The sequence below is a fragment of the Homo sapiens genome, chromosome 7, assembly GCF_000001405.40.
Source record: "Homo sapiens chromosome 7, GRCh38.p14 Primary Assembly".
Classification (NCBI taxonomy): Eukaryota; Metazoa; Chordata; class Mammalia; order Primates; family Hominidae; genus Homo; species Homo sapiens.
Window position 1 is genome coordinate 144,747,195 of NC_000007.14, and position 24,664 is coordinate 144,771,858.

The following is a 24,664-nucleotide window of genomic DNA, read 5'->3' on the forward strand; positions in this document are numbered from 1 at the left end:
TACTAACTCTTTAAATTACAGTTGCCAGTGGTGGCAACTGTAATCTCTTATTTACCATTCTGTGAACAAATCTAGGGCAATGGGGCTGGCTATCATACTACAAGCCGACTACATCCTATAAAGGAGCAGGTTGGCCTCACTGTGCAATGACCTACAGAACACCTTCATTAAAGTTTATGATAGTCCCAAAGTAATTCAATGAATCCTAATTGATGTTTTACAAGAAAAGCAAATTCTCATCTACATAAAGGTTAATAGATTGATGCCCAAATAACCATAGATAGGTGAGTTATTTAAATTTCCACTTTAGGCCAGGCGCGGTGGCTCACGCCTGTAATCCCAGCACTTTGGGAGGCCGAGGCAGGTGGATCACGAGGTTAGAAGATCGAGACCATCCTGGCTCACACAGTGAAACCCCGTCTCTACTAAAAATACAAAAAAATTAGCCGGGCGTGGTGGCAGGTGCCTGTAGTCTCAGCTACCTCGGGAGGCTGAGGCAGGAGAATGGAGTGAACCCGGGAGGCAGAGCTTGCAGTGAGCTGAGATTGCACCATTGCACTCCAGCCTGGGCGACAGAGCGAGACTCCATCTCAAAAAAAAAAAAAACAAAAACAAAAACAAAAAATTCCACTTTAATCAATCTATTTCATCTATACTTTGTTCTATATCTGTTTCAGGTGTCCAAAATATATTCCCTAAGTTCTCATTGTATCAAAAAACATGTAATACAAGAGGTATTTCCACTGTTTTCTGAAGTCAGCAAAATTTCTTCTACAAAGAGGGGCCAATATGAGACCCTAGTTATAACATAATTCTAAGGGAAAGTTCAATGTCTAACAGTAATTGGAGCTACAAAGTACTAAGATAAGATTGAGACTGCCTACAAGAAAACCTGGCTCCAGGCTTATAAATGAAAAGGACCTTTGAGATCATGCTTATATAGAGAAAAGAGAGTTGAACATTTCTCAACTTGGCAAGAAGCCTTCTAATACACATGAATCTTTAAAGAACATTATGACGCAGTTGATTTGTAAGCCCTTTAAGAAAAGGACCTATGTCTTTCTCACCGTGCTATCTCCAAACTTTTTACACTGCTTGACACAGAAGGTGCTCAAAAAATATTGACTAAAAACAATAAAATAATGGAAACATTTTTGTCTCTCAGGAAACGTATTTTTAAAATGTTATACTGTAAAGCTGGCACTTAAAAAATGACTTCTCTTATAAACATCAAGTGAAACCCTTCATACACAGTATCACGGAATTAGGAAGTATAGCAGATTTATAAACTCACTTAAAATATTAAGCTCTTGAGACTTTAGCATAAATTCCTTGAATTCCTGTGATACTGTGATTACTAAAACAAAACAAAAATTGTAAGGTTATAAAATTTCATAAGAAGGATTCCACACACATATAATGTGATTATGAAAAATGATGGTTCAATGCTAGCTATTTGAGATTCATTCACTTTACTTACGCTAAAAGAAAAGGTTGTGAATATTTCCATTCAGACTTCTTTTTACTACTTTCAAATGTTTGTTTTATATTTGTTATGACATAACATTTAATGTAAGAGAGATTTAGAATGCTTGGAATATTCCTTTACAAATGGTAAGTTTTGAAACTAATGATCTGTTAAACAGAAAAACACTCAGTCTGAAATTTAAAGCTGTTGCTAGGAGGAATGTTCATTGAGACCCCTAACAGAACATGCAAATGAGGACTCAGTGTCCTATAAGTTAGTAGTATTTCCATGAAACACACTTAGGCTTCCCAGTTTCTAGAAAAGCCTCTTATCCCCTTGAAAAAAAGGAGGAAAGTATAAATGCAAGACACAGCCACTAAGAGCTGAAGCTCTAAAGCAGAGAGGTCTGGCTTCAGTCACTCTCTAGCTCTGTTATCTCTGTACTCAACGCTTCTCATTTAACAAATAAGAATAATTGTAATAATTATTCCATAAGATTGTTGAGGTGATTACATTCAAACTTGCATATAGAGTGCTTTAGCAGAGTGACAAGCACTCAATACATAGTTACTACTATGGTTATTATTAATAAACATGTCATTGATTAATCATAACCTATAGATACACATTTTCCATCACCCACAGAAATGTCTATGTGTAAATATAGGTACATGTGCATGTATGTTTCAAGAAACAATAATTATCCTAACTCCTGATACACTGTCTTTTAGTCTTCAATTTCCATTTTTTGTAAATACTGGGCTTACCTCATTAAACTGTTTTCATAACTCATTAGTAGGTAACAATTCATAGATCCAAAATAGAGTCAGGAAATCACATTCTTACTTCTGAAGAAAGGATAGGTAATATTTGTATTAATAATTACAACTAATTGATACCATCTTAGATATATTTCTGAATTGTGATCTTTCAATTCTTTACACATTTGTTATTACTCTTTATTTCAGTTTCATGAAGAAATCAGGCATGGCCACTAAGTGCCATGCAATGAAAAATTGTTACTAATAATTATTGTAATAGCTATGCATTATTAATATTTATAGAAAAGAAATAATGTGAAAAGCCTTAAATAATTATAACCATTTTTATAACAATTAGTCAGAAAAATAATTATTTACTATCAATTTTGGAAGAAGAGGTCAGAACAAATGATAAAGCATCTGCATGTATATGAGAGAGCATATGTGAACAGTTAGTGACAGAGGAAAAAGCGACAGAGAAGTAGACAAAATATATAAGCATAAAAAAAAATGAATGAGAAGGAGGAGAGAAGGAAGGAAAGAAGAAAGGAGAAGAAAAGAGAGAAACCACACTAAGAAAAAGATGGTTACAAATGAGAGAAAATTGGAAAATGAAGAATATGGTAACAGACGTTTTTAGGTAAGGAGAAAGACTCTCGTTAGATAATGTTCTTTTTAGTAAGGCAGTGACAAAGTCTTTTGTCAGGCAGTTTACAAGCTTTAAAGCAAGACACTTATTTGGAAACTAAGACCAATAATGAAACACTTCATTCTCTCTAATAGATTCCTCAAAGTTCACCCTATTTATAGCTGTTATAGAAAATATACAATATATACAATTCAGGTGCATATGATGATATAGAAGAGAATTTAGTTGTCATTAAATATCAAATCTATATACCCTCGGTTGGCAGCATAGCATGACTTCCACTAGCTGACTTGGTAAGCCTGTTCACGAATGAGAGATGGTAAGGAAAGTAAAGGGATAATTCAGGCTGACTATTCAGATGCTAGAAAAGATAGAGAAGTGAGAGGGTAGGGAATTACCATAGGATAAATATTATCACTAAAATCAGGGTCAGAATAAAAGCAGATAGCAACCAATATACTATGAAAATTGGTATAGACTAAATATCTGAATGCAGTAATAAAAATTAGGAGCAGAATCAGTAAGTATGGAAGAACAGGAGATGATGATCTACCAGCCAAAGAGAGAAATGTATGATCCTGAAACACTGAAGGTGGAACAGTTTTCCAGGAAGATATCCAAATTCCACATAGGAGGTACTGGCTGGTAGCTAAAATGGACTAGGGGATCAGGAAACTATGGACTATGTGCCAAAATCCACTCCTCTACCTATTTTTGCAAATAAAATGCTTTTAGAACACAGCATCTTTTGTTTCCTGACTTTTTAATGATTGCCATTTTAACTGGTGTGAGATGGTTTCTCATTGTGGTTTTGATTTCATTTCTCTAATGACCAGTGATGATGAATTTTTTCATATATTTGTTGGCTGCATAAATGTCTTCTTTTGAGAAGTGTCTGTTCATATCCGTCACCCACATTTTGATCGGGTTGTTTTTTTCTTTTTAATTTAAGTTCCTTGTAGATTCTGGATATTAGCCCTTTGTCAGATGGATAGATTGCAAAAATTTTCTCCCATTCTGTAGGTTGCCTGTTCACTCTGACAGTTTCCTTTGTTGTGCAAAAGCTCTTTGGTTTAATTAGATCCCATTTGTCAATTTTGGCTTTTCTTGCCATTGCTTTTGCTGTTTTAGTCATGAAGTCTTTGCCCAGGCCTATGTCCCGAATGGTATTGCCTAAGTTTTCTTCTAGGGTTTCTATGATTTTAGGTCTAACATTTAAGTCTTTAATCCATCTTGAGTTAATTTTTGTATAATGTGTAAGGAAGGGGTCCAGTTTCAGTTTTCTGCCATATGGTTAGCCAGTTTTCCCAATACCATTTATTAAACAGGGAATCCTTTCCCCATTGCTTGTTTTTGTCAGGTTTGTCAAAGATCAGATGGTTGTACATGTGTGGCGTTATTTCTGAAGCCTCTGTTCTGTTCTCTTGGTCTATATCTCTTTTTTGGTACCATTACCATCCTGTTTTGGTTACCATAGCCTTGTAGTATAGTTTGAAATCAGGCAGTGTGATGCCTCCAGCTTTGTTCCTTTTGCTTAGGATTGTCTTGGCTATACAAGCTTTTTTAGTTCCATATAAAATTTAAAGTAGTTTTTTTTTCTAATTCTGTGAAGAAAGTCAATGGCAGCTTGCTGGGGATAACACTGAATCTATAAATTACTTTGGGCAGTATGGCCATTTTCACGATATTGATTCTTCCTATCCATGAGCATGGAATGTTTTTCCATTTGTTTCTCTTTGATTTCCTTGAGCAGTGGTTTGTAGTTCCCCTTGAAGCGGTCCTTCAAATTCCTTCTAAGTTGTACTCCTAGGTATTTTATTCTCTTTGTAGCAATTGTGAATGGGAGTTCACTCATGGTTTGGCTATTATCAGTGCATAGGGATGCTTGTGATTTTTGCACATTGATTTTGTATCCTGAGACTTTGCTGAAGTTACTTATCAACTTAAGGAGATTTTTGGGCTAAGACGACGAGGTTTTCTAAATATACAATCATTTCATCTGCAAACAGACAATTTGACTTCCTCTCTTCCTATGTGAATAGTCTTTATTTCTTTCTCTTGCCTGATTGCCCTGGCCAGAACTTCCAATGCTATGTTGAACAGGAGTGGTGAGAGTGGGCATCCTTGTCTTTTGCCAGTTTTCAAAGGGAATGCTTCCAGCTTTTGCCCATTCAGTATGATATCGGCTGTGGGTCTGTCATAAATAGCTATTATTTTGAGATACGTTCCATCAATACCTAGTTTGTTGAGAGTTTTTAGCATGAAGGGCTGTTGAATTTTGTCAAAGGCCTTTTCTGCATCTATTGAGATAATCATATGGCTTTTGTCATTGGTTCTGTTTATGTGATGGATTACGTTTATTGATTTTTGTCTGCTGAACCAGCCTTAGATCCCAGGGATAAAGCCGACTTGATCGTGGTGGATAAGCTTTTTGATGTGCTGCTGGATTCAGTTTGCCAGTATTTTATTGAGGATTTTTGCACTGATGTTCATCAGGAATACTGGCCTGAAATTTTCTTTTTTTGTTGTGTCTCTGCCAGGTTTTTGTATCAGAATGATGCTGCCCTCATAAAATGATTTAGGGAGGAGTCCCTCTTTTTCTATTGTTTGGAATAGTTTCAAAAGGAATGGTACCAGCTCCTCTTTGTACCTCTGGTAGAATTCGGCTGTGAATCCATCTGGTCCTGGACTTACTTTGGTTGGTAGGCTATTAATTACTGCCTCAATTTCAGAACTTGTTATTGGTCTATTCAGGGATTCGACTTCTTCCTGGTTTAGTCTTGGGAGGGTGTATGTGTCCAGGAATTTATCCTTTTCTTCTTGATTTTCTAGTTTATTTGCATAGAGGTGTTTACAGTATTCTCTGATGGTAGTTTCTATTTCTGTGGGATCAGCGGTGATATCCCCTTTATCATGTTTTATTGGGTCTATTTGATTCTTCTCTCTTTTCGTCTTTGTTACTCTGGCTAGTGATCTATTTTATTAATCTTTTCAAAAAACCAGCTCCTGTATTCACTGATTTTTTGAAGGGTTTTTTTGTGTCGCTATCTCCTTCAGTTCTGCTCTGATCTTAGTTATTTCTTTTCTTCTGCACTAGCTTTTGAATTTGTTTGCTCTTGCTTCTCTAGTTCTTTTAATTGTGATGTTAGGGTGTCGATTTTAGATGTTTCCTGCTTTCTTCTGTGGGCATTTAGTGCTATAAATTTCCCTCTAAACACTGCTTTAGCTGTGTCCCAGAGATTCTGGTATGTTGTGTCTTTGTTCTCATTGGTTTCAAATAACTTTTTTATTTCTGCCTTAATTTCATTATTTACCAGTCATTCAGGAGTAGGTTATTCAGTTTCCATGTAGTTGTGCAGCTTTGAGTGAGTTTCTTGATCCTGAGTTCTAATTTGATAGAACTGTGGTCTGAGAGACTGTTTATTATTTCTGTTCTTTTGCGTTTGCTGAGGAGCGTTTTACTTCCAATTATACGGTCAGTTTTAGAGTAAGTATGATGTGGCACTGAGAAGAATGTATATTCTGTTGATTAGAGATGGAGGGTTCTGTAGATGTCTATTAGGTCTGCTTGGTCCAGAGTTGAGTTCAAGTCCTGAATATGCTTGTTAATTTTCTGTCTCATTGATCTGTCTAATGTTGACAGTGGGGTGTTAAAGTCTCCCACTATTATTGTGTGGGAGTGTAAGTCTCTTTGGAGGTCTCCAAGAACAGGCTTTATAAATCTGGGTGCTCCTGTATTGGGGGTATATATATTTAGGATAGTTAGTTCTTCTTGTTATGTTGATCCCTTTACCATTATCTAATGCCCTCCTTTGTTTATTTTAATCTTTGTTGGTTCAAAGTCTGTTTGATCACAGACAAGGATTGCAATCCCTGCTTTTTTTTCTTCTTCCATTTGCTTGGTAAATATTCCTCCATACCTTTATTTTGAGCCTATGTGTGTCTCTGCAAGTGAGATGGGTCTCCTGAATACAGCACACTGATGGGTCTTGACTCTTTATCCAATTTGCCAGTCTGTATCTTTTAATTGGGGCATTTAGCCCATTTACATTTAAGGTTAATATTGTTATGTGTGAATTTGATCCTGTCACTATGATGCTAGCTGGTTATTTTGCCCATTACTTGATGCAGTTTCTTCATAGTGTCAATGGTCTTTATATTTTGGTATGTTTTTGCAGTGGCTGGTACCGGCTTTTCCTTTCCATATTTAGTGCTTCCTTCAGGAGCTCTTGTAAGGCAGGCCTGGTGGGATTTGGTACAGCTGATTTTGCACTATAACAGCAGAGTTGAAGAGTTGTGACAGAGACCACATGGCCTGCAGGGCCTAAAATATCTACTATCTGGCTCTTCACAGAAAAACTTTGCCTCCCTCCTTGTCTATGAGCTGAGGGCATAATCATGTAAGCCTTAACACTAACATTCAAGTCACCAAACATACATATGCCTGGCACATACTACACAAATATTTACACTGTTTGAATTATCTGCTTGAGTTTAATTCCCAGCTTTTCCATTTACTAGAACTGTGAATGAAAACTGGCCATTCAATCTTACAGTGCCTCAGTCTACTCATCTGTAGAATGAGGATGATAATGGTATTGATCTCACAAGAGTGACAAAGGATTAAGTTAGTTAATCATGCAAAGCTCTTAGAGCACTACTTGGCACATGATAATTACTATCTGTGTGCTGGCTACTGTTAAATATAGTAGGTTCATAATAGTCATTAGTCGAATGCTGGATGAATTAACTAATGAATTAATATATTTGAGAGATAAATTCTAAGACAGTAATTTACTGAAAAACATGGTGGTAGTTAATGGTAAGAAGCTTGTAGATGAAGTAAATTCAAAAAAGAAGATATATCATTTAATTGTGATAGAGGAATATGACCAGAAGTGGCACTAAACACAAAGATTAAGTCATTCCATCTCGTCTGAGTGAATCCTGGGAAAGAAGGTAGCACAGGGCTTCTTAAAAATCTCACAATATTTGTATGACAATACCTAAATTGATTAAATATTGATTTCAATAGAAATGGGCCATCATTTGGGGGATGGGAATAGAATTTACCTCTGGCCTCATATAAAGAAATATGTATTTTCATCTGTACCACCCATATATTAAAATGTCTTATATATTTAAATAATCTTTCTGCAGTCCCCCATATATTTTTGTGTGACTGAGATACATCGTTTCTGACAGCCTTATTTACAGAAACTACAGCTTGTACATAACTGTTTTGTTCAATGGACCTGAACCAAGTATGCAAATTGCTCATCAGATCTTTGGCTCAATGTTCACTTAAATGTGCTCAAAGCATAAGTTCTATGAAACACTAAACACAGAAACAGACACAAATAATGTCAATTTGGTACTTTAATACAACTATAATAGCTGAACTATTACAGAATTCCAATTCTAATGACTAAAGCTACTCAATACCAGAACAGATGCCTCCGAGATCATCCTAACTGAAATTCAGATACCCTTTTAAAGCCCAGCATTTTCCAGGTGAAGTGACCTCCTGCATCTCTGCCTGGGTGCATTTAAATGATAAAAACGTACATGGTAGTCTGCCTGTTCATGTACTCGTAATGAGCAAATCCCTAACAGCTACATTCGTGACAACTACTTAGATAACAAAGAAGCTTTACCTAAAGGTATCACTATTTTACTTCCACAGAGATTCTGCCACTAGATATGCCAGAGTGCACACTATTCAGTTCTTTTAAACATGTTCAAAAATAGAATATGTCTTCTCCCCACAGTTCCTCTTCTACCAGCATAAACAAGTGTTTCAGCCCATGGTTTCTCCCATGTCACCCCATTCAATTTGTTCCAAACATCACCTGTAAACTCTGAACATAGAAAGAACGTAGACCAGACTTTCAAATGTGTCTCCCAGTGAATTGGAGGAGAGCATGGTTTTTTTTTTTTCTAATTATACTTTAAGTTGTAGGGTACATGTATACAACATGCAGGTTTGTTACATATGTATACATGTGCCTTGTTGGTGTGCTGTACCCATTAACTCGCCATTTACAGTAGGTATTTCTCCTAATGCTATCCCTCCCCACTCCCCCAACCCTACGACAGGCCCCCGTGAGTGATGTTCCCCACCCTGTGTCCAAGTGTTCTCATTGTTCAATTCCCACCTATGAGTGAGAACATGCGGTGTTTGGTTTCCTGTCCTTGTGATAGTTTGCTCAGAATGATGGTTTCCAGCTTCATCCATGTCCCTACAAAGGACATGAACTCATCCTTTTTTATGGTTGCATAGTATTCCATGGTGTATATGTGCCACATTTTCTTTAATCCAGTCTATCACTGATGGACATTCGGGTTGGTTCCAAGTCTTTGCTATTGTGAATAGTGCCGCAATAAACATATGTGTGCATGTGTCTTGATAGCAGCATGATTTACAATCCTTTATACCCAGTAATGGGATTGCTGGGTCAAATGGTATTTCTAGTTCTAGATCCTTGAGGAATCGCCACACTGACTTCCACAATGGTTGAACTAGTTTACTGTCCCACCAACAGTGTACAAGTGTTCTTATTTCTCCACATCCTCTCCAGAACCTATTGTTTCCTGACTTTCTAATGATCACCATTCTAACTGGTGTGAGATGGTATCTCATTGTGGTTTTGATTTGCATTTCTCTGATGGCCAGTGATGATGAGCATTTTTTCATGTGTCTCTTGGCTGCATAAATGTCTTCTTTTGAGAAGTGTCTGTTCATATCCTTCGCCCACTTTTTGATGGGGTTGTTTTTTTTCTTGTAAATTTGTTTAAGTTCTTTGTAGATTCTGGATATTAGCCCTTTGTCAGATGGGTAGATTGCAGAAATTTTCTCCCATTCTGTAGGTTGCCTGTTCACTCTGTTGGCAGTTTCCTTTGCTGTGCAGAACCTCTTTAGTTTAATCAGATCCCATTTGTCAATTTTGGCTTTTGTTGCCATTGCTTTTGGTGTTTTAGTCATGAAGTCCTTGCACATGCATATGTCCTGAGTGGTGTTGCCTAGGTTTTCTTCTAGGGTTTTTACGGTTTTATGTCTAAAATTTAAGTTTTTTTGTTTTTTTGTTTTTTGGTTTTTGTTTTTTGATATGGAGTCTCGCTCTGTCGCCCAGGCTGGAGTGCAGTGGCATGATCTCAGCTCACTACAAGCTCCGCCTCCTGGGTTCACGCCATTCTCCTGTCTCAGCCTCCTGAGTAGCTGGGCCTATAGGCACCCGCCACCATGCCCGGCTAATTTTTTGTATTTTTAGTAGAGACAGGGTTTCACCATGTTAGCCAGGATGGTCTCGATCTCCTGACCTTGTGATCTGCCCACCTCGGCCTCCCAAAGTGCTGGGATTACAGGCATGAGCCACCGCGCCTGGCCTAACATTTAAGTCTTTAATCCATCTTGAATTAATTTTTGTATAAGGTGTAAGGAAGGGATCCAGTTTCAGCTTTCTACATATGGCTAGCCAGTTTTCCCAGCACCATTTATTGAACAGGGAATCCTTTCCCTATTTCTTGTTTTTGTCATGTTTGTCAAAGATCAGATGGTTGTAGATGTGTGCTATTATTTCTGAGGGCTCTGTTCTGTTCCGTTGGTCTACATCTCTGTTTTGGTACCAGTACCATGCTGTTTTGGTTACTGTAGCCTTGTAGCATAGTTTGAAGTTAGGTAGCGTGATGGGAGGAGAGCATGTTATATCCCCTCATGATCTTTTCTGTGCCATGGACGTTTCTTTCCATGGACCCCAAAGCAGCTATCACTGTAAAACTGAGAGCTCAAAAGTCTCAGTTGCCCCCAAGAACTAGGACTATTAAAAAAGTTCAAGTTATTTTTTAATGTATAATCACACACAAATGCTCAGTGTAAACGTTCTTTAATTTACCTATATTCAATTAAATGGCATGATCTTAAAAATAAGATTCTAGAAGGAATCAATCTTGGAACAAATTATTACAAAAGAGAAGCAACATGGAATGACAATTTAAATATATATAGGAGGAACAATAATATACATCTAACATATAACATTATGTAGAGCTTATAGTAGGGCAGGGCAAAAATATCTGTTTCTGTGTATTACTATACACTACGCAATGTGGGAAAAAACGAAGGTGAACCCCACCATGTTTCTCTGGCTGTTTTCCCAAGCCTACATTTTCAGATGTCTTTAAAACTAACTGATTAAATGTATATTACAAGTGAAATAGAAAGAAAAAAAAAAAGAAACACCACCAAGGAGAAAAGACCTTAATTACTGCATAACAAATATATTACCAGGAAAGTAAATATTTGTTAAAAATGAAGATGTCTGTGTTTCAGTAAAGGGCATTTGAGACCCAAGCATTTTGATTGGGAGAATGATACCACACCTTCTAAAGAACTGGGCACCAACAACTATAAGAAAATAAATGCAAAATGTTGACTTCACCTCTAGTAAATTGTCTGTTTTGAAGTTCCACTTATATTTTCTAGTTTTATGTAATAGCCTACCACCTGGTTAGTATAAAAATAGAATTCTTTGTGTTTTTTTAAATTTTAATTTCTTTCACTAAAGGTACAGCATCACAAAGATACTACTTAGCCTCTCTAGCAAGGATAATTATTAGCAATGAGTTTAAACTCCTCAAATTATCCACACACCAGGCCCACTTCACTGAAGCAAACAAAAGATAAAACTGTGTGTCTGTTTGTGTTTGTGTATCTGTGTGTGTATACACATGCAAGTGAATTAAACATGGAGCAAACAATCAAAAAACATACATAAAATGTTGAATGTTAAAAAAGAAAACATAAGTAGCCATACAAACTTGGCAGTCATTTTCTGGATACATTAAAAATTGACATACAAATTGGACAGAGATCTAAATGGCATAAAGAATGAAGTAAAACAGGCAGTTGAAATGCCTATACTAACTGCCATGAAGCACACAGAGTCACATGGTCTTACAATCACCAATTCAGGGGCATCTTTCTATTTAGTAGTAGGATTTCACTTATTACCCTGTTAGAAATTACATTTAAAAATCATTTCATGAGAAATAATGAAAAGTAAAATTAAAAGCATAAAACAAAGATAATGACAGAAATAATAGTTCATGGGTCTGGGCATGGTGGCTCACACTTGTAATCCCAGCACTTTGCGAGGCCAAGGTGGGCAGATCACTTGAGGTCAGGAGTTTGAGACCAGCCTGGCCTACATGGCGAAACCCCATCTCTACTAAAAATACAAAAATTAGCTGAGTGTGGTGGTGGGTGCCTGTAATCCCAGCTACTGAGGAGGCTGAGGCAGGAGAATCACTTGCATCCAGGAGGTGGAGGTTGCAATGAGCCGAGATCGTGCCATTGCACTCCAGCCTGGGCAATAAGAGCAAAACTCCATCTCAAAAAAGAAAAAAGAAAAAAAAAACATATATATATATATATATATATATATATATATGGTTAATGGGGACTGACATTTTTAAACCAAACTGTGAGGTTTTAACTTTTAAAAATGCACACATGGTTCTATAATTAAAGATGAAAAATCTAAGGAAAAACTAAAGAATTTACATTTATGAAAATAAGGTTAATGGCTGGGCACAGTGGCTCATTCCTATCATCTCAGCACTCTGGGAAGCCGAGGCAGGAGGATCACTTGAGGCCACAAGTTTGAGACCAGCCTGGACAACATAGGGAGACCCCACCTCTACAAAAAATAAAAAATTAGCTGGGTATGTGGTGCACGCCTGTAGTCCTAGCTACTCAGGAGGCTGAGGTGGGAGGAGTGCTTGAGCTCATGACGTCATGACTGCAGTGAGCTGTGATCATGCCACTGTACTCCAGCCTAGGTCACAGAGTGAGACCGTGTCTCAAAAATAAATAAATAAATAAGTTAATCTACAGTTCTCATAAACAAGTTATTTAACAAAAAGGACCCAATATATGACTAATCTCTTTAGACAATAATGTCAGAAGACAATGGTACTGCTAACTTATATATCCTTCTATAATTAAAAGAGGCACCCTACCATAATATCTTAATAGACAAAGAAGATATATTCGAATGCTACATTTACTGGCATCTTAACTGTCAAAGGCATGAAACCAAAAAGGCAAAAAAAAAAAAAATACATTTTTGCACATGCACTATAACGAAAGAAGGAGAGAGTAATGAAAATATCAGTTCTGATTGGGTGTACCAGGAAATATCAAATAAGTACAGAGGAGTCATAGAGCAGAGAAAAAAAATGTGAGTGACAAAGCTCAAGTTTAGCAGAATTAGAAAAGGGACTCAACTGAGACTGAAGACCAAAGAGGAATCTGGGGAAAAAGAGAGAAAGAGAGTGCATGAGGAGGCGCAAGCATGTGCCTGCAGCCTGCTAACTGGTCCACATCAGCGCAAGAGGATTTCCAGGACCTGTCTTTGGCTGCATCAAAGACAGGCAGTGACCTTCCCCAATTGTCAGGATGACCCACAACGGCTACCAGGCCAGTCTCACAAGAACTAAGAAAACACCATCAGCTAAGCACTTTGCATCCATTTTCAAGAAGTTCATCCTCAAGGAAAGATAAGGTGACATTTGAGAAAATCTATCTCTACCTGGGGAAGCTAAGGAAGTTTTCAGAAGAGGTGGCATTTGAGTTGGACCTTAAAGGATGGGTGAAAGTCTGCAATATAAATAAGTAAAAGTCTATTTTCCGCAGGAAAAAAGTAAATGGCAGTTCTATTTAGATTAATCATTAAATACACAGGAAGAGGTAGCCATAGAGATGAGGCCAAAGGAAAAAATTATGTTGGATATACATTCTTGGGGGGACTGGCCCTTCCAGGGTCAGCTTAAAGAAATCACCTTAAGGTGATTTCAAAATTTCAAAGTTATCATCAAAAAACATGTTTCCCTTAAAATTCCTCTAACAGGAATAGTGCATACAATAGATGAAACAGGATTAAAATAGCAACTGATACCAAGCACATTAAAGCATAACTATCTATTCAACCAATCTACACGTAAAAGTGACAGGTATCTGATTTCTCTATTTTAATGAGAAAAAAACACAGAAGACACCAAAACTGAGATAAATAGGTCCCACTAAATAGAGAAATAAGAATGAAAAAGGAAAGATAAAGGAAAACTTTAATATAAAGTTTATAGGATAGAAAACTTTAATATAAAGTTTATAGGATAGAAAACTTTATATAATATAAAGTTGGTTGTGTTTAACTTAAAATAATCAAGTGAAAACCTCAAGGCTTACATAAAAGCCTGGGGTACATAATTTAAGAAGGAAAGAGTTTGTCACAAAAAAACTACAATTGAAATAAGGTGCTTTATAGCAGATTTCTACCTCATTTAAAACAAACCTAATGCCAATACTAATCACTAGCACAAGATTAGCATAATTATTATGGCAAGTCTATTTAGTCTATTACAAACTAGGTAGAGTGTTTTCATTTTAAAGAAAAGCAAATAGAAATGAACGAGTAGAGTCAATTAACCAACTATTACAAAAATATCAATTCTTAAGAAGCAGGGGCATGGCTAGTTCATTCTAAGCACTTGCGGCTTGGACAGACAGAGCTTCGGACATGCCGTCACAGGAACAGGCTGCACTTAACAGACTCCACCTCTCAATTCTAGCCACTATCATGTCCCTGGCAACCAGCCCAATGCCTGACACAGAAGGGCCTCAACTAGTGTCAGTCAATAACAAATGGAACATAACTAATGCTATAAAACCAAAGACCTTGCTTATACTTTAATTCACGAATGCTACTTGTGCCTCTTTTTAATCTGTAAGACCTGCCTGATATGTCAAATATTTTATGACTTCAGTGTCAATGAAAATAAGTACACTGCCCATACCCTGGGGTGATCTTAAGGATGATAGTAAAAGAATCTGATCATCTAGCCATAATCTAATTAACATGATCACCACTGTGCTGTAAATCATGTGGAAAAAGTGGAGAAAGGCTGTGAATACATGCTAACAATGAGGATATGTGTTAAGCTGAACTCCTAGAAACTTCATACACACTCAATATAACCTTATTCCAATATGTCTGTTTTTCATGATGTTTTGTAGCACAGAGATCTCCACTACTAACTTTGAGAACACTGTTAGCACTGTGACTCCAGTCGAGAATAACTAACCTACAAGAAATAGGCAGAGCCCTTCTAACATACATATCCCTACTTTTGCACTTATCACATATTTCAGGTAGAGAAAGACACTTCCTGAAATAAAGCCTGACTCAAAATATTTTTTAAAAACATGTTAGTAGCTGGGCACGGTGGCTCAAGCCTGTAATCCCAGCACTTTGGGAGGCCGAGGCAGGCAGATCACGAGGTCAGGAGTTCAAGACCAGCCTGACTAACATGGTGAAACCCCATCTCTACTAAAAAATACAAAAATTAGCCAGGCATGGTGGCGTGCGCCTGTAATCTCAGCTACTCAGGAGGCTGAGGCAGGAGAATCACTTGAACCCGGGAGGCAGAGGCTGCAGTGAGCTGAGATCGTGCCACTGTACTCCAGCCTGGGAGACAGAGCAAGACTCCATCTCAAAAAAAAAAAAAAAAAAAAAAGTTAGTAAACCTAAGACCAATAGCAAGTCACAAATAGCAATAACCTCTGATATTACAGAAAAGTTAGATATTAACTCTACTTCTATCTACCCATTTTTCTATTTACCCATCTACCTACCTAAGTGCTTACTTTATCATCAAACCAAACGTAGAAAATGCTGGAACAGGTAGAGAGATATGCTCCAAGACTTCTAACCAAGAAAATCACTAAACTTCATGATGTATAAAAGAGAAAATACATTAAAACCTCCATAATTTTAATCTCTCTTGAACTCCCTCCTTAGGCATTTAAGCTAAATCTCATAACTGACATTGTCAGAGTAGGTAGTTAGGCAGACATGAGCACAGCAGGAGAACTCCCCTCCCCAGGAATGTCAGGGGACCATAGGTGATGGTCAGGCAGTTGTTAAACTGTTTCTCTAAAATAATTTGTGGCAGCCAGCACCAGGGAAAGGCAACCTCCCAATAGATAGAAAACACCTGGAGCTGGTGATCAGCTGCTTCCTTATAAGGTCTCTGGAGTTGGGCAAGTAGGCTCAGCATGCACACTGCAAGAGGCAAAATGGTGGCGTTTAACTGGTATATGATCTTCCTCTGGGAATACTTGACTGGTAAAGGAAAAATGGCTCAAATGAGCATGCACACAACTTTAGTAAACACACTGAGCATGTGGCCCCTCCCAAGTGCTGGCTGGCCACTGGGCCACTGGGCTACTGTAATGCAGACAGCCCACCCTAAAGGAAGAATCAGGGGAGAAGAAACACAAACCCTGAACTATGGCCATGTATAAAACCCCAAATCAAGGTCCAAACAGGGCACTCAAATCTCTCAAGTCACCCGCTTGGCCCTCTTCCAGGTGTACTTTGCTTCCTTTCGCTCCTGCTCTAACACTTTTTAATAAACTCTCACTCCGGCTCTAAAACTTGCCTCAGTCTCTCCCTTTACCTTAAACCTACTTCTGCCCTCAGCTGAATTATATCCCTGAGCAGGCAAGGATGGGGTTGCTGCAGGCCCGTATGGATTCGCTGCTGGTAAAAATATCACTTAACCATTGCAGGAAGAAACTTTAAGATAAACTTTCAACATAGTCTTTCCCCTGAAATGAATCTCAGGAAACATCTACTCAGCAGAAGTCCTTGGCATAAAGTGAAATTGCCAGTTTTATGCAGGAGTCTCATATACTATGCAACACTCTTCAGATTTCTCTGCATTTTGAAGCTTGCAACCATTTTAACAGCCCAGTCTTCATCCCTTGATTTCAGCTCTTCACAAATCTTTGTATCATAGAACAGAAGTTACAGAAAATGTTGAGCGTATTAAAAGGTAATGGGGACAGCACCCCCAAGCCACTTCATACTTGCTAATACCCCAACCCATAATACTGTCTCCTCTCCCAAACTCTCAATGCTGCCCTATCCATTTTCCTAAGCCTTTCCTATGTTAAGATTAACAACTCAAGCTCAATACTTCTCTATTTTGTTTCCTTTACTCGGGAGAAAAGAAACACAAAAGGGGACACTACAAGCATAAAAAGCACAGCTTCTGTTAAGAGAATCACAAAAAACCTACACTTTAGTATTTATCAATAGGCCTGTTTCTTACAATGGTTAAAGGCTCCAGAACACCAAGGATTATCCTAGTATATATGTGAAAGAACTTAACATCTCAATAATCTAAAAAAGACAAATTATTTTGGAAATGAGAATTAACTAGCCATTTCAGTATACCGGATACTTCAGATACCTTAGTTTTTTTTCATGTACAGACTGATCCTTATGGAAAAACTAATGAAATGAGGAACTTCGGTCGGCTCAAAAGTCTACATCATTCACACTGTTTGCAAAATTAAGACCCTCAACTCCCCCAAACGTAACAGACTTCTTTAGATGTAGCTTTGAATATTCAAGGTCTCCAATGGTTTGGATCAACGGTTATTCTATTTCTAATGTTTGCAATAAAACAGTCACTCACACTCTCCCCAAACAATATAAAATATGATACAATAAATTCAATTAGAAAGGATATACCTAACCATTTTAGTATTTTCTAGCAATAGAAGCTATACTAAATTCATTCTTTCATTTATTGTCATTAATAGCAATTATGTGACAGATACTGCACTAGGCACTAGAGACACAGTGACAAAAGACATCACAGCCATTCAAATAACTACCTAATTAGTGGGGTGCTAAGAAAGAAAAGTTAATGGTTAAATAATTTTTATGCTTTGAGAGAAATGTTAGTACAATTATAATGTGAAATTTTAAGTTCACTAACTTACACATAGTTCAATTTAGAATACCAAGAGTTTTCACTATATTAGACAAAAAAGGTTCTTTACACAAAAATCACTTGTGATGATTTATTCCCTCTAGTATCACAACTATCTCAACTACAGATGTGAGCTTATTCACATACGAGGTTTGCATTCTAAGAAACATAAACACAATGTTGAGAATACTAAAGAGTTCTATGATGATAAGAGGGAATCAGGAATGGCAAAAATATGCATCAATGCATCACGAATCAAGTTCTTCTGCCTATCTACCTTGGCCTAAAACTTCCACTGACAACTCAACAAAAATGCTCCTTTGGAAAAACAACAACAACAACAACAACAAAATTCATTGTTTCATGGGAGAAGAACAGAGATTCAAAACAGCAAACGATATTGAACATTATTTTCCAACCTAGAGATAATCCTATAAAAGTTAAAGAATAATATAAACAGTTAATGAAGCCTGTTTCTTACACAAAACCTTCCAATAGTATCAATTCTGTGACACTATCCCATTTTTAACTATATTTTTCAGCACCCCAAGAGGTTCTTACATACTAGCATCATCATCTTTTTTGATTTTGCAAATCTGATCACCCTGCAGATACCTTATTGGATGCTGCAACAGATGAGGCATGTGGATGCTTTTCTGCTACCACTGGTGCCAAAAATAATTTACACTTGAACAAATACTTGTTGAGGATTCAGGCTTAATATCTACACTGTAGTTCTGAAATACAGTATGGTATTCCGTCCTTCGGAGTCCATGCTTTGGAAATCACATTTAAACAGTTTAACAGAGAAGCGATAATAAATTATTCTAATCATTAATAATTGAATCACCTTATTATGAATTCCACTTTTTAGTCAGGTTTCAGGGTACTTAATAGTCATGTTGGTCAGTCACAAATAAAGTAAGAAAGCAAAGAAACAGAAATGCTAATTAAGGTTACCTTTGTTCCAAAGATGACGAAAATAGTTGTCCAAAGGCTGATTAAGAATTACAAGGCAGTACTTCAAATTCCCTAGAGAAAAAAAGAAAGCAAAATAAAATACATAAGTGAACTGAGTCTTTTGTTCCTCTTATATGAGTCTAAAATCATACACTACTAGTCCAGATTTTCAGTATACACAGAACTAAAGTTCAATCACAGTGAATTTCCCATACCTTAATTTTAAAAGGCATCATACATAAACGGGTCCTATTTTACTTAGTGTATCTGTCACATTACCATATTGTTGAGCAATGTATCATAGAAACAACTGGGTAAACTTTTTGTAGGGGGTGAAGAGCACAAATGTTCTTGATATAAATTCTCATCCTTCCAATATATCTACTACTTTGACACAACTATCCTTCTACCTGGCTAGTTTTATATCATCCTGACCTTATTTATCAAATGGTATGGGTCTAGTGGGTGTGTATTTTCACATTCATTCATATTCTTTTTCTCTCTTTCCTTCCACGCTTACCCTATCCTGAACTTTCCAAAGCAAAACCCTGTGTGCTTTCAGAAATCCTACTAGGTCTTCTCATGATTCTCTTATTCCAGGTTTTTAATGACACTCCAAAGACAAAGATGAAGAAAAGTTTACTTTTAAGACAATCATTCCACACCTTTTATAATGTACTTAAAATAGTGCAAAGCAAAGTACAATCAGGTATTGAAAATCTGTCATTCAGTTCAGTCCAAGCACCCTCCATTTCATTTGTGAAAAATTAAATGTTTAAGAAAAATTGTTTTTAAGCAATCTCACTGTTAGAAATGGAACACAATAAGTAAATAAAAAGGGTATGCCATCATCCATAGCAAATATTATTAAGTGCCAATTGTATACCAGGCACTGGGAGTACAAAGAGGGATAAGATTACAAGCTGTGAGATGAGACACTTAAAATAAAGATGATTTATTCAAAATACAATATAACAGAAGCACAGGAGGAATGCCAGATAAATAGATAAATGAGTATAGCGGGAGTTCAAAGGCTAGGAAGCCAATAAAGTCTGGTGTCATCCCAGAGATTTTTGTGAAATGTAGATTTTTGAACTTGATCTTTCAAAGAGAAAGAAGGTGCAAAGAATAAAGGAAGGGGCTTTCTAGACAAGAAAAACAGCCCACGAGAAGCTGCTCTCCTTATCCATTAGGGTTACTCCAATGAACAGTTTCAGAAGCAATGCCCTAATGATGTGATACTAACATCAGTAATTTTAAACATAATGTTTAAGATAACGTAGGAATTTAAGTTGAGGCACCAACTTAAATTCCTCTACAAAAAGAGTGATGCAGTAATGAGTAGTAAACACAATTTATATAATTCGGAATCCATATAGAGATCAGAGCTGAAGGTAAAAGAGTAGGCAAGCCACTGAGATACTGCACAAAGCAGGGGAGGGCAAAGAGAGAAAAGAATAAAGACGAAAGCAAAGACATTGTGTTTTCCTCACCGTAACAGAGCCGAAGGAGGTCAACAGAGAAAATACAGAAGGAAAACCCATAAAGGCAGAAGGATAAGAAGGTATTTCCAAGAACATGCAGCCGATAACACAGCATGCTACAGAAATGTCAAGGAGATTGAACAAGAGGCCGAGGGGAGGGAGATCTCAAAGAAAATCTGAAAATTCATAGAGGGAGACTCAAGATAGTGAAGTGACCAAGGAATTAGTGAACAGTCAGGAGTTGATTAAGAAGGAAGAATAGTCACCTTTCCTTAAAATATAAAAAGTTAACTGTGAGAAATGGAAAAAATAATGCAACAAAGTCGAGATAAAATATTTTCAATATAGAAACAATCTTATATCCTAAATAGGAGAGGGAAGTAAGAGGAAGAAGGGAAATTGTCCATTTGTTCTTTCAACAGGTATTTTCAGAGCACACCTTGTTCAGGCACTGCTCTGAACAGCAGTCAAGAGAAATGGTGTGTCCCCCACCACCACCACCACCTGTAAGGCGTATCTCCTGCTGAGAAAAGAGGGACTGAGACTGAGGCACATGAAGGCGCGTCATGTGCCTCAAAACTGAGGTTGTCTTTTTTTTTTTTTTTTTTTTTTTTTTTTTTTAAAGAGATAGGGTCTCACTCTGCCACCCAGGCCAGAGCACAGTGGTACAATCGTAGCTCACTGCAGTCTCAAACTCCTCGGCACAGGTGATCCTCCCACCTCAGCCTCCTGAGTAGCTGAGACTACAGGTGCACACCACCATGCCCAGCTAATATTTTTATTTTTTGTAAGAAGCAGTTTCCAATGCCTGGCATCAAGCGACCCTCTACCACCCAAAGTGCTGGGACTGCAGGCCTGAGCCACTGGAACTGTCCCTATTTATTTATTAATTTTTAGAGATGGAGTCTTGCTCTGTTGCCCAGGCTGGAGTACAGCGGCACTATCTTGGCTCAGTGCAACCTCCACCTCCCAGGTTCAAGTGATTCTCCTGCCTCAGCCTCCCAAGTAGCTGGGATGACAGGCGCCCACCACCAAGCCTGGCTAATTTTTGTATTTTTAGTAGAGGCAGGGTTTCATCATGTTGGCCAGGCTGGTCTCGAACTCCTGACCTCAGGTGATCCACCCACCTCGGCCTCCCATAGTGCTGGGATTACAGGCATGAGCCACCTGGGATTACAGGTGCCCGGCCTGCACCTACACCTATTTAAAACAAGGTAAAATAAAGTGAGAGGGGAGAATTAGAGTGGAATACGGAACATTTTTAAAACAACTGTATAAAAAACAGACTACAGGACATAACAATCCACATTTTAAAAATAGAAATATAATTGGAATTAACTAAAAGGTAATATGAAATCATATTTATCTATAATTTTAGCACTTTTCCCACCAATTATGAGGAGGAGACATAAGAGTAGGCGTAAACAGGATGGTGACGATAGCTGGTTTTGAGAACTGGCAAAATCACTTGCCAAGAGGTCAACAGAATCCAGGATGTTTATTTGGGCAGCTTTAGAATGAATGATTATGGTGAAGACCAGTAATAGCCTCTTCTTTATTAAGAGGATCCTGAGGGGATTTTTGTTCATTTCACTGGGCCAGGTAAGAAAAAAATAACCTTGTGGCCAAATGTGGTCATAAGGCTAAGTTCTGGCCAAAGAGATGTATATAGCTTTCTTTGTTATATCTGGCAAGTCTCCTTAAAATAAAGGGGGATTTATCTTCTACTCATTTCCTTCCTCCTTCCTGCCATCTGGAAGTAAGAATTGATAGATTCTTTGAATGAAATTCTAGCAGCCACCTTGGATCATAAGAACAAGGGCATCAGAGTAAAGAAGCCTGGGTTGCTGATGACTTCATGAATCTTCCTCCGTTCCAGCACTTCACTACCTGCCTCAAAGCTTATTTTACATGAGTGAAAAATAAACTTCTAAGTCATTTCCTAATCTTGGCCTTAATTCTGGAGAGCACTCCTAGAAGCAATAGGTCCTACCATGACTTCAGGAGCCAGGACTGGAAATAGAGCCCCTGCCACTACTTTATGAGAATTTATTAAAAGGTTGTGAGACTGCAAATCAGTTTCTTCCTCTCCTTTCCTTTCCTTCCCAGTGGTTCTCAGATCACCCAGAGGAATTTATAAGACATGAAAATTTCTGGACCGTATCCTACACCTTTCAAATTACATCCCTTGGCATGAGGCATGGCAATCTACATTTTACAAGCAAGTTATTCTACCACAGGTGGTCCATGGACTAAGCTTTAAGAAATCCTGCTTTGTTATCACCATACCAGTTCCCTAAACCCAGATGGTGCTTGTTTCATAGGCTAAAATCTATCACCTCAGTGGGGGCAGTGAAGCTTAATCGGGCAAGGCAATGCATTTATTATTTCAAGTAACATGTGTCAAGCCCTGACCTAGGTTTTGGGGACACAAAAACGAAAACAAAAAACAAAAAACAAAAACATACTTCTATGCTGTACAAGTCGCTGTTATTTTGGGTTTCTATATTCTAGAGAAAAAAAAAAACCTAATTGTAATGAATGCAGTGATCACAGTCCAGATTGTGTTAAGGTAAAGATGACCTAAACAAGAATCTGAGATGACTCTAAAGAAGAGAAGACAAGCATCAAAATGCACTATTCAAAATGAATGCATTAGCTCATTCATTCATCCCACCTGGACAGAGCATCAGTTTAAGAGATTCAGAGTCTGGCTCATGGTAAATGCTCAATAAGATTTCAACAGCAAGGAGCTAATAATTTGGATAACCCAATGGTCCTTTTCTCTGTAGCAAAGTCTACACTGCCAAAAGAGGCATTCAACAATATTGAATGTAAGTTTACATGAATGATTGAAACTGCTGTTACTGATTATTTGATATATGAACTTGGTATTTTTGTGCTTCACAGAGCCATCTGGTAAGAGAGGAAAGCACTATTATCCACATTACTGCTCCTCTAGACCAATACTTTCATTAAGGTAATATCCGTGAAGGCATTTCATTTTTGAAAAGAATGAAGCAGTATAAAATGTATAGTACAGTTAGGCTTTACTAATGATGTTATTAATAAAAAAGAATTAACCACTTCAGCTATTTCTATACATAACATTTATGGTAGGCTGTTTCTGTATATAAAGTTATTTAGGTAATGGGATCTGATATTCTCTTCTAATCTAGTTTAGTTTTCTAATAAGATCTGACAGTCTTTCCTTTTCTAATCTTGTCTCCCCTGGAAGTCAGTATGGCATTTATTTTACGCTCGCAGCCTTCCTGATTACTAATCCATAGCGGGTTGCAGAAAAAATAGCATACAGAATCACCATGGTTCCTAAATAGTGTATGGGTGTTTCTCAGCCAAACATTCCACCACAATATAGCTCCATATCACTCTCAGATACTGAATTATGGGACAATGCCTCTGGTTCTAAATGCCCCAAAATTCAGAAAACTCTGGGAACTAAGGAAGTAAGAAAAATCAATAGTCTTATTTCAAGTAGTTCTCCAGCTGTCACATTGATTCTGTTCCTGGGATATGCAAAAAGATTTAAGAAAAAAACTAGAAAGAACTTCTTCATTATGTTATAAAAATTATAAAATTTTTTAATCAGGTGTCCTAAGGCAATCTCAAAGACAAATGTAGGCACAGACAGCAGGATTTCAAATGCGATGGTGAAATAACCTTTTCATTATTTATAAAAATGTATGATGCACTCCATTTAAAAGAACAAAGACAGACAGACTAGTCTTAATCCTTCAAATGTTAAGTCAAAAGTCCCTGAATTGCTTTCTCGAATGCGCTTCAATGACAGAAGATGAAAAATCCCTAATCATGGATGTATTGAAACCAAAATGCTCCAAATTGCATGAAAATCCTGAGTTAAGTACAAAAGGCCAAGTTTATAACATGAAAATAAAAATAAGGTCAAATCATCAGCCTTGAGCTAAAAAGGGAAGAGGCCCTTTGAAGGTAAAAAACTAAACGTAACAAGTTCAGATTTTAAGAAAGGGGGAGGGGCATCCCATCTGTCTTTACTGTATGTAGTTCTCCCTCTTCTGTAACCACAACAACAAAATCCTGCCTCTATAGAGAAATGGCTGATTCTATTATTAAGGAAGTATTCAAGATGAGCTTGGAGCACCAGGTAGTTCCGGTAAGAAAGAAAGAACATGATCCCCTAAACAAACAAACAAAAATACTCACAGAGATGAGAGTAGGTCAGAGGGGCACAAGAGCCAACTGAAAGAGGTCCCAATGGCCAAAACTGTTAACAATTTGAGGAAAAAGTAAAGTAGCATTGGATTACAACCCAGAGTATGAAATAAATATCCATCAATCCATATGGATTAATACACAGGTGACAAGAGACAAATCTCCCAGGCAGAATAATTCCAAATAAATTATACAATCCTCCATCCTAAAGGAGAAAGAACATAGCTATAGGCTATACACAGCAGAGAGTGGGCTGCACATAGTAACTTCCTTCCAAAGAGGA

The 24,664-nt window shown here is 37.4% G+C and overlaps 1 protein-coding gene across 35 annotated transcripts in view; it reads right to left on the reverse strand.

Annotated features, from left to right (window-relative positions):
• The window catches only part of TPK1 (thiamin pyrophosphokinase 1), a 384,497-nt gene that overhangs the window by 295,254 nt on the left and 64,579 nt on the right, over positions 1-24,664 (reverse strand). For all 35 annotated transcript variants that reach the window (NR_146934.1, NR_146935.1, XR_001744630.2 and 32 more), the window contains one exon: positions 18,686-18,757. Coding sequence is in view for 18 of the 35 variants with exons in the window: in XM_005249970.2 (XP_005250027.1) it covers positions 18,686-18,757 (72 nt within the window). In the remaining 17 variants the exon portion in view is untranslated. Of the gene's footprint in view, positions 1-18,685; positions 18,758-24,664 lie in introns of those variants that run through there.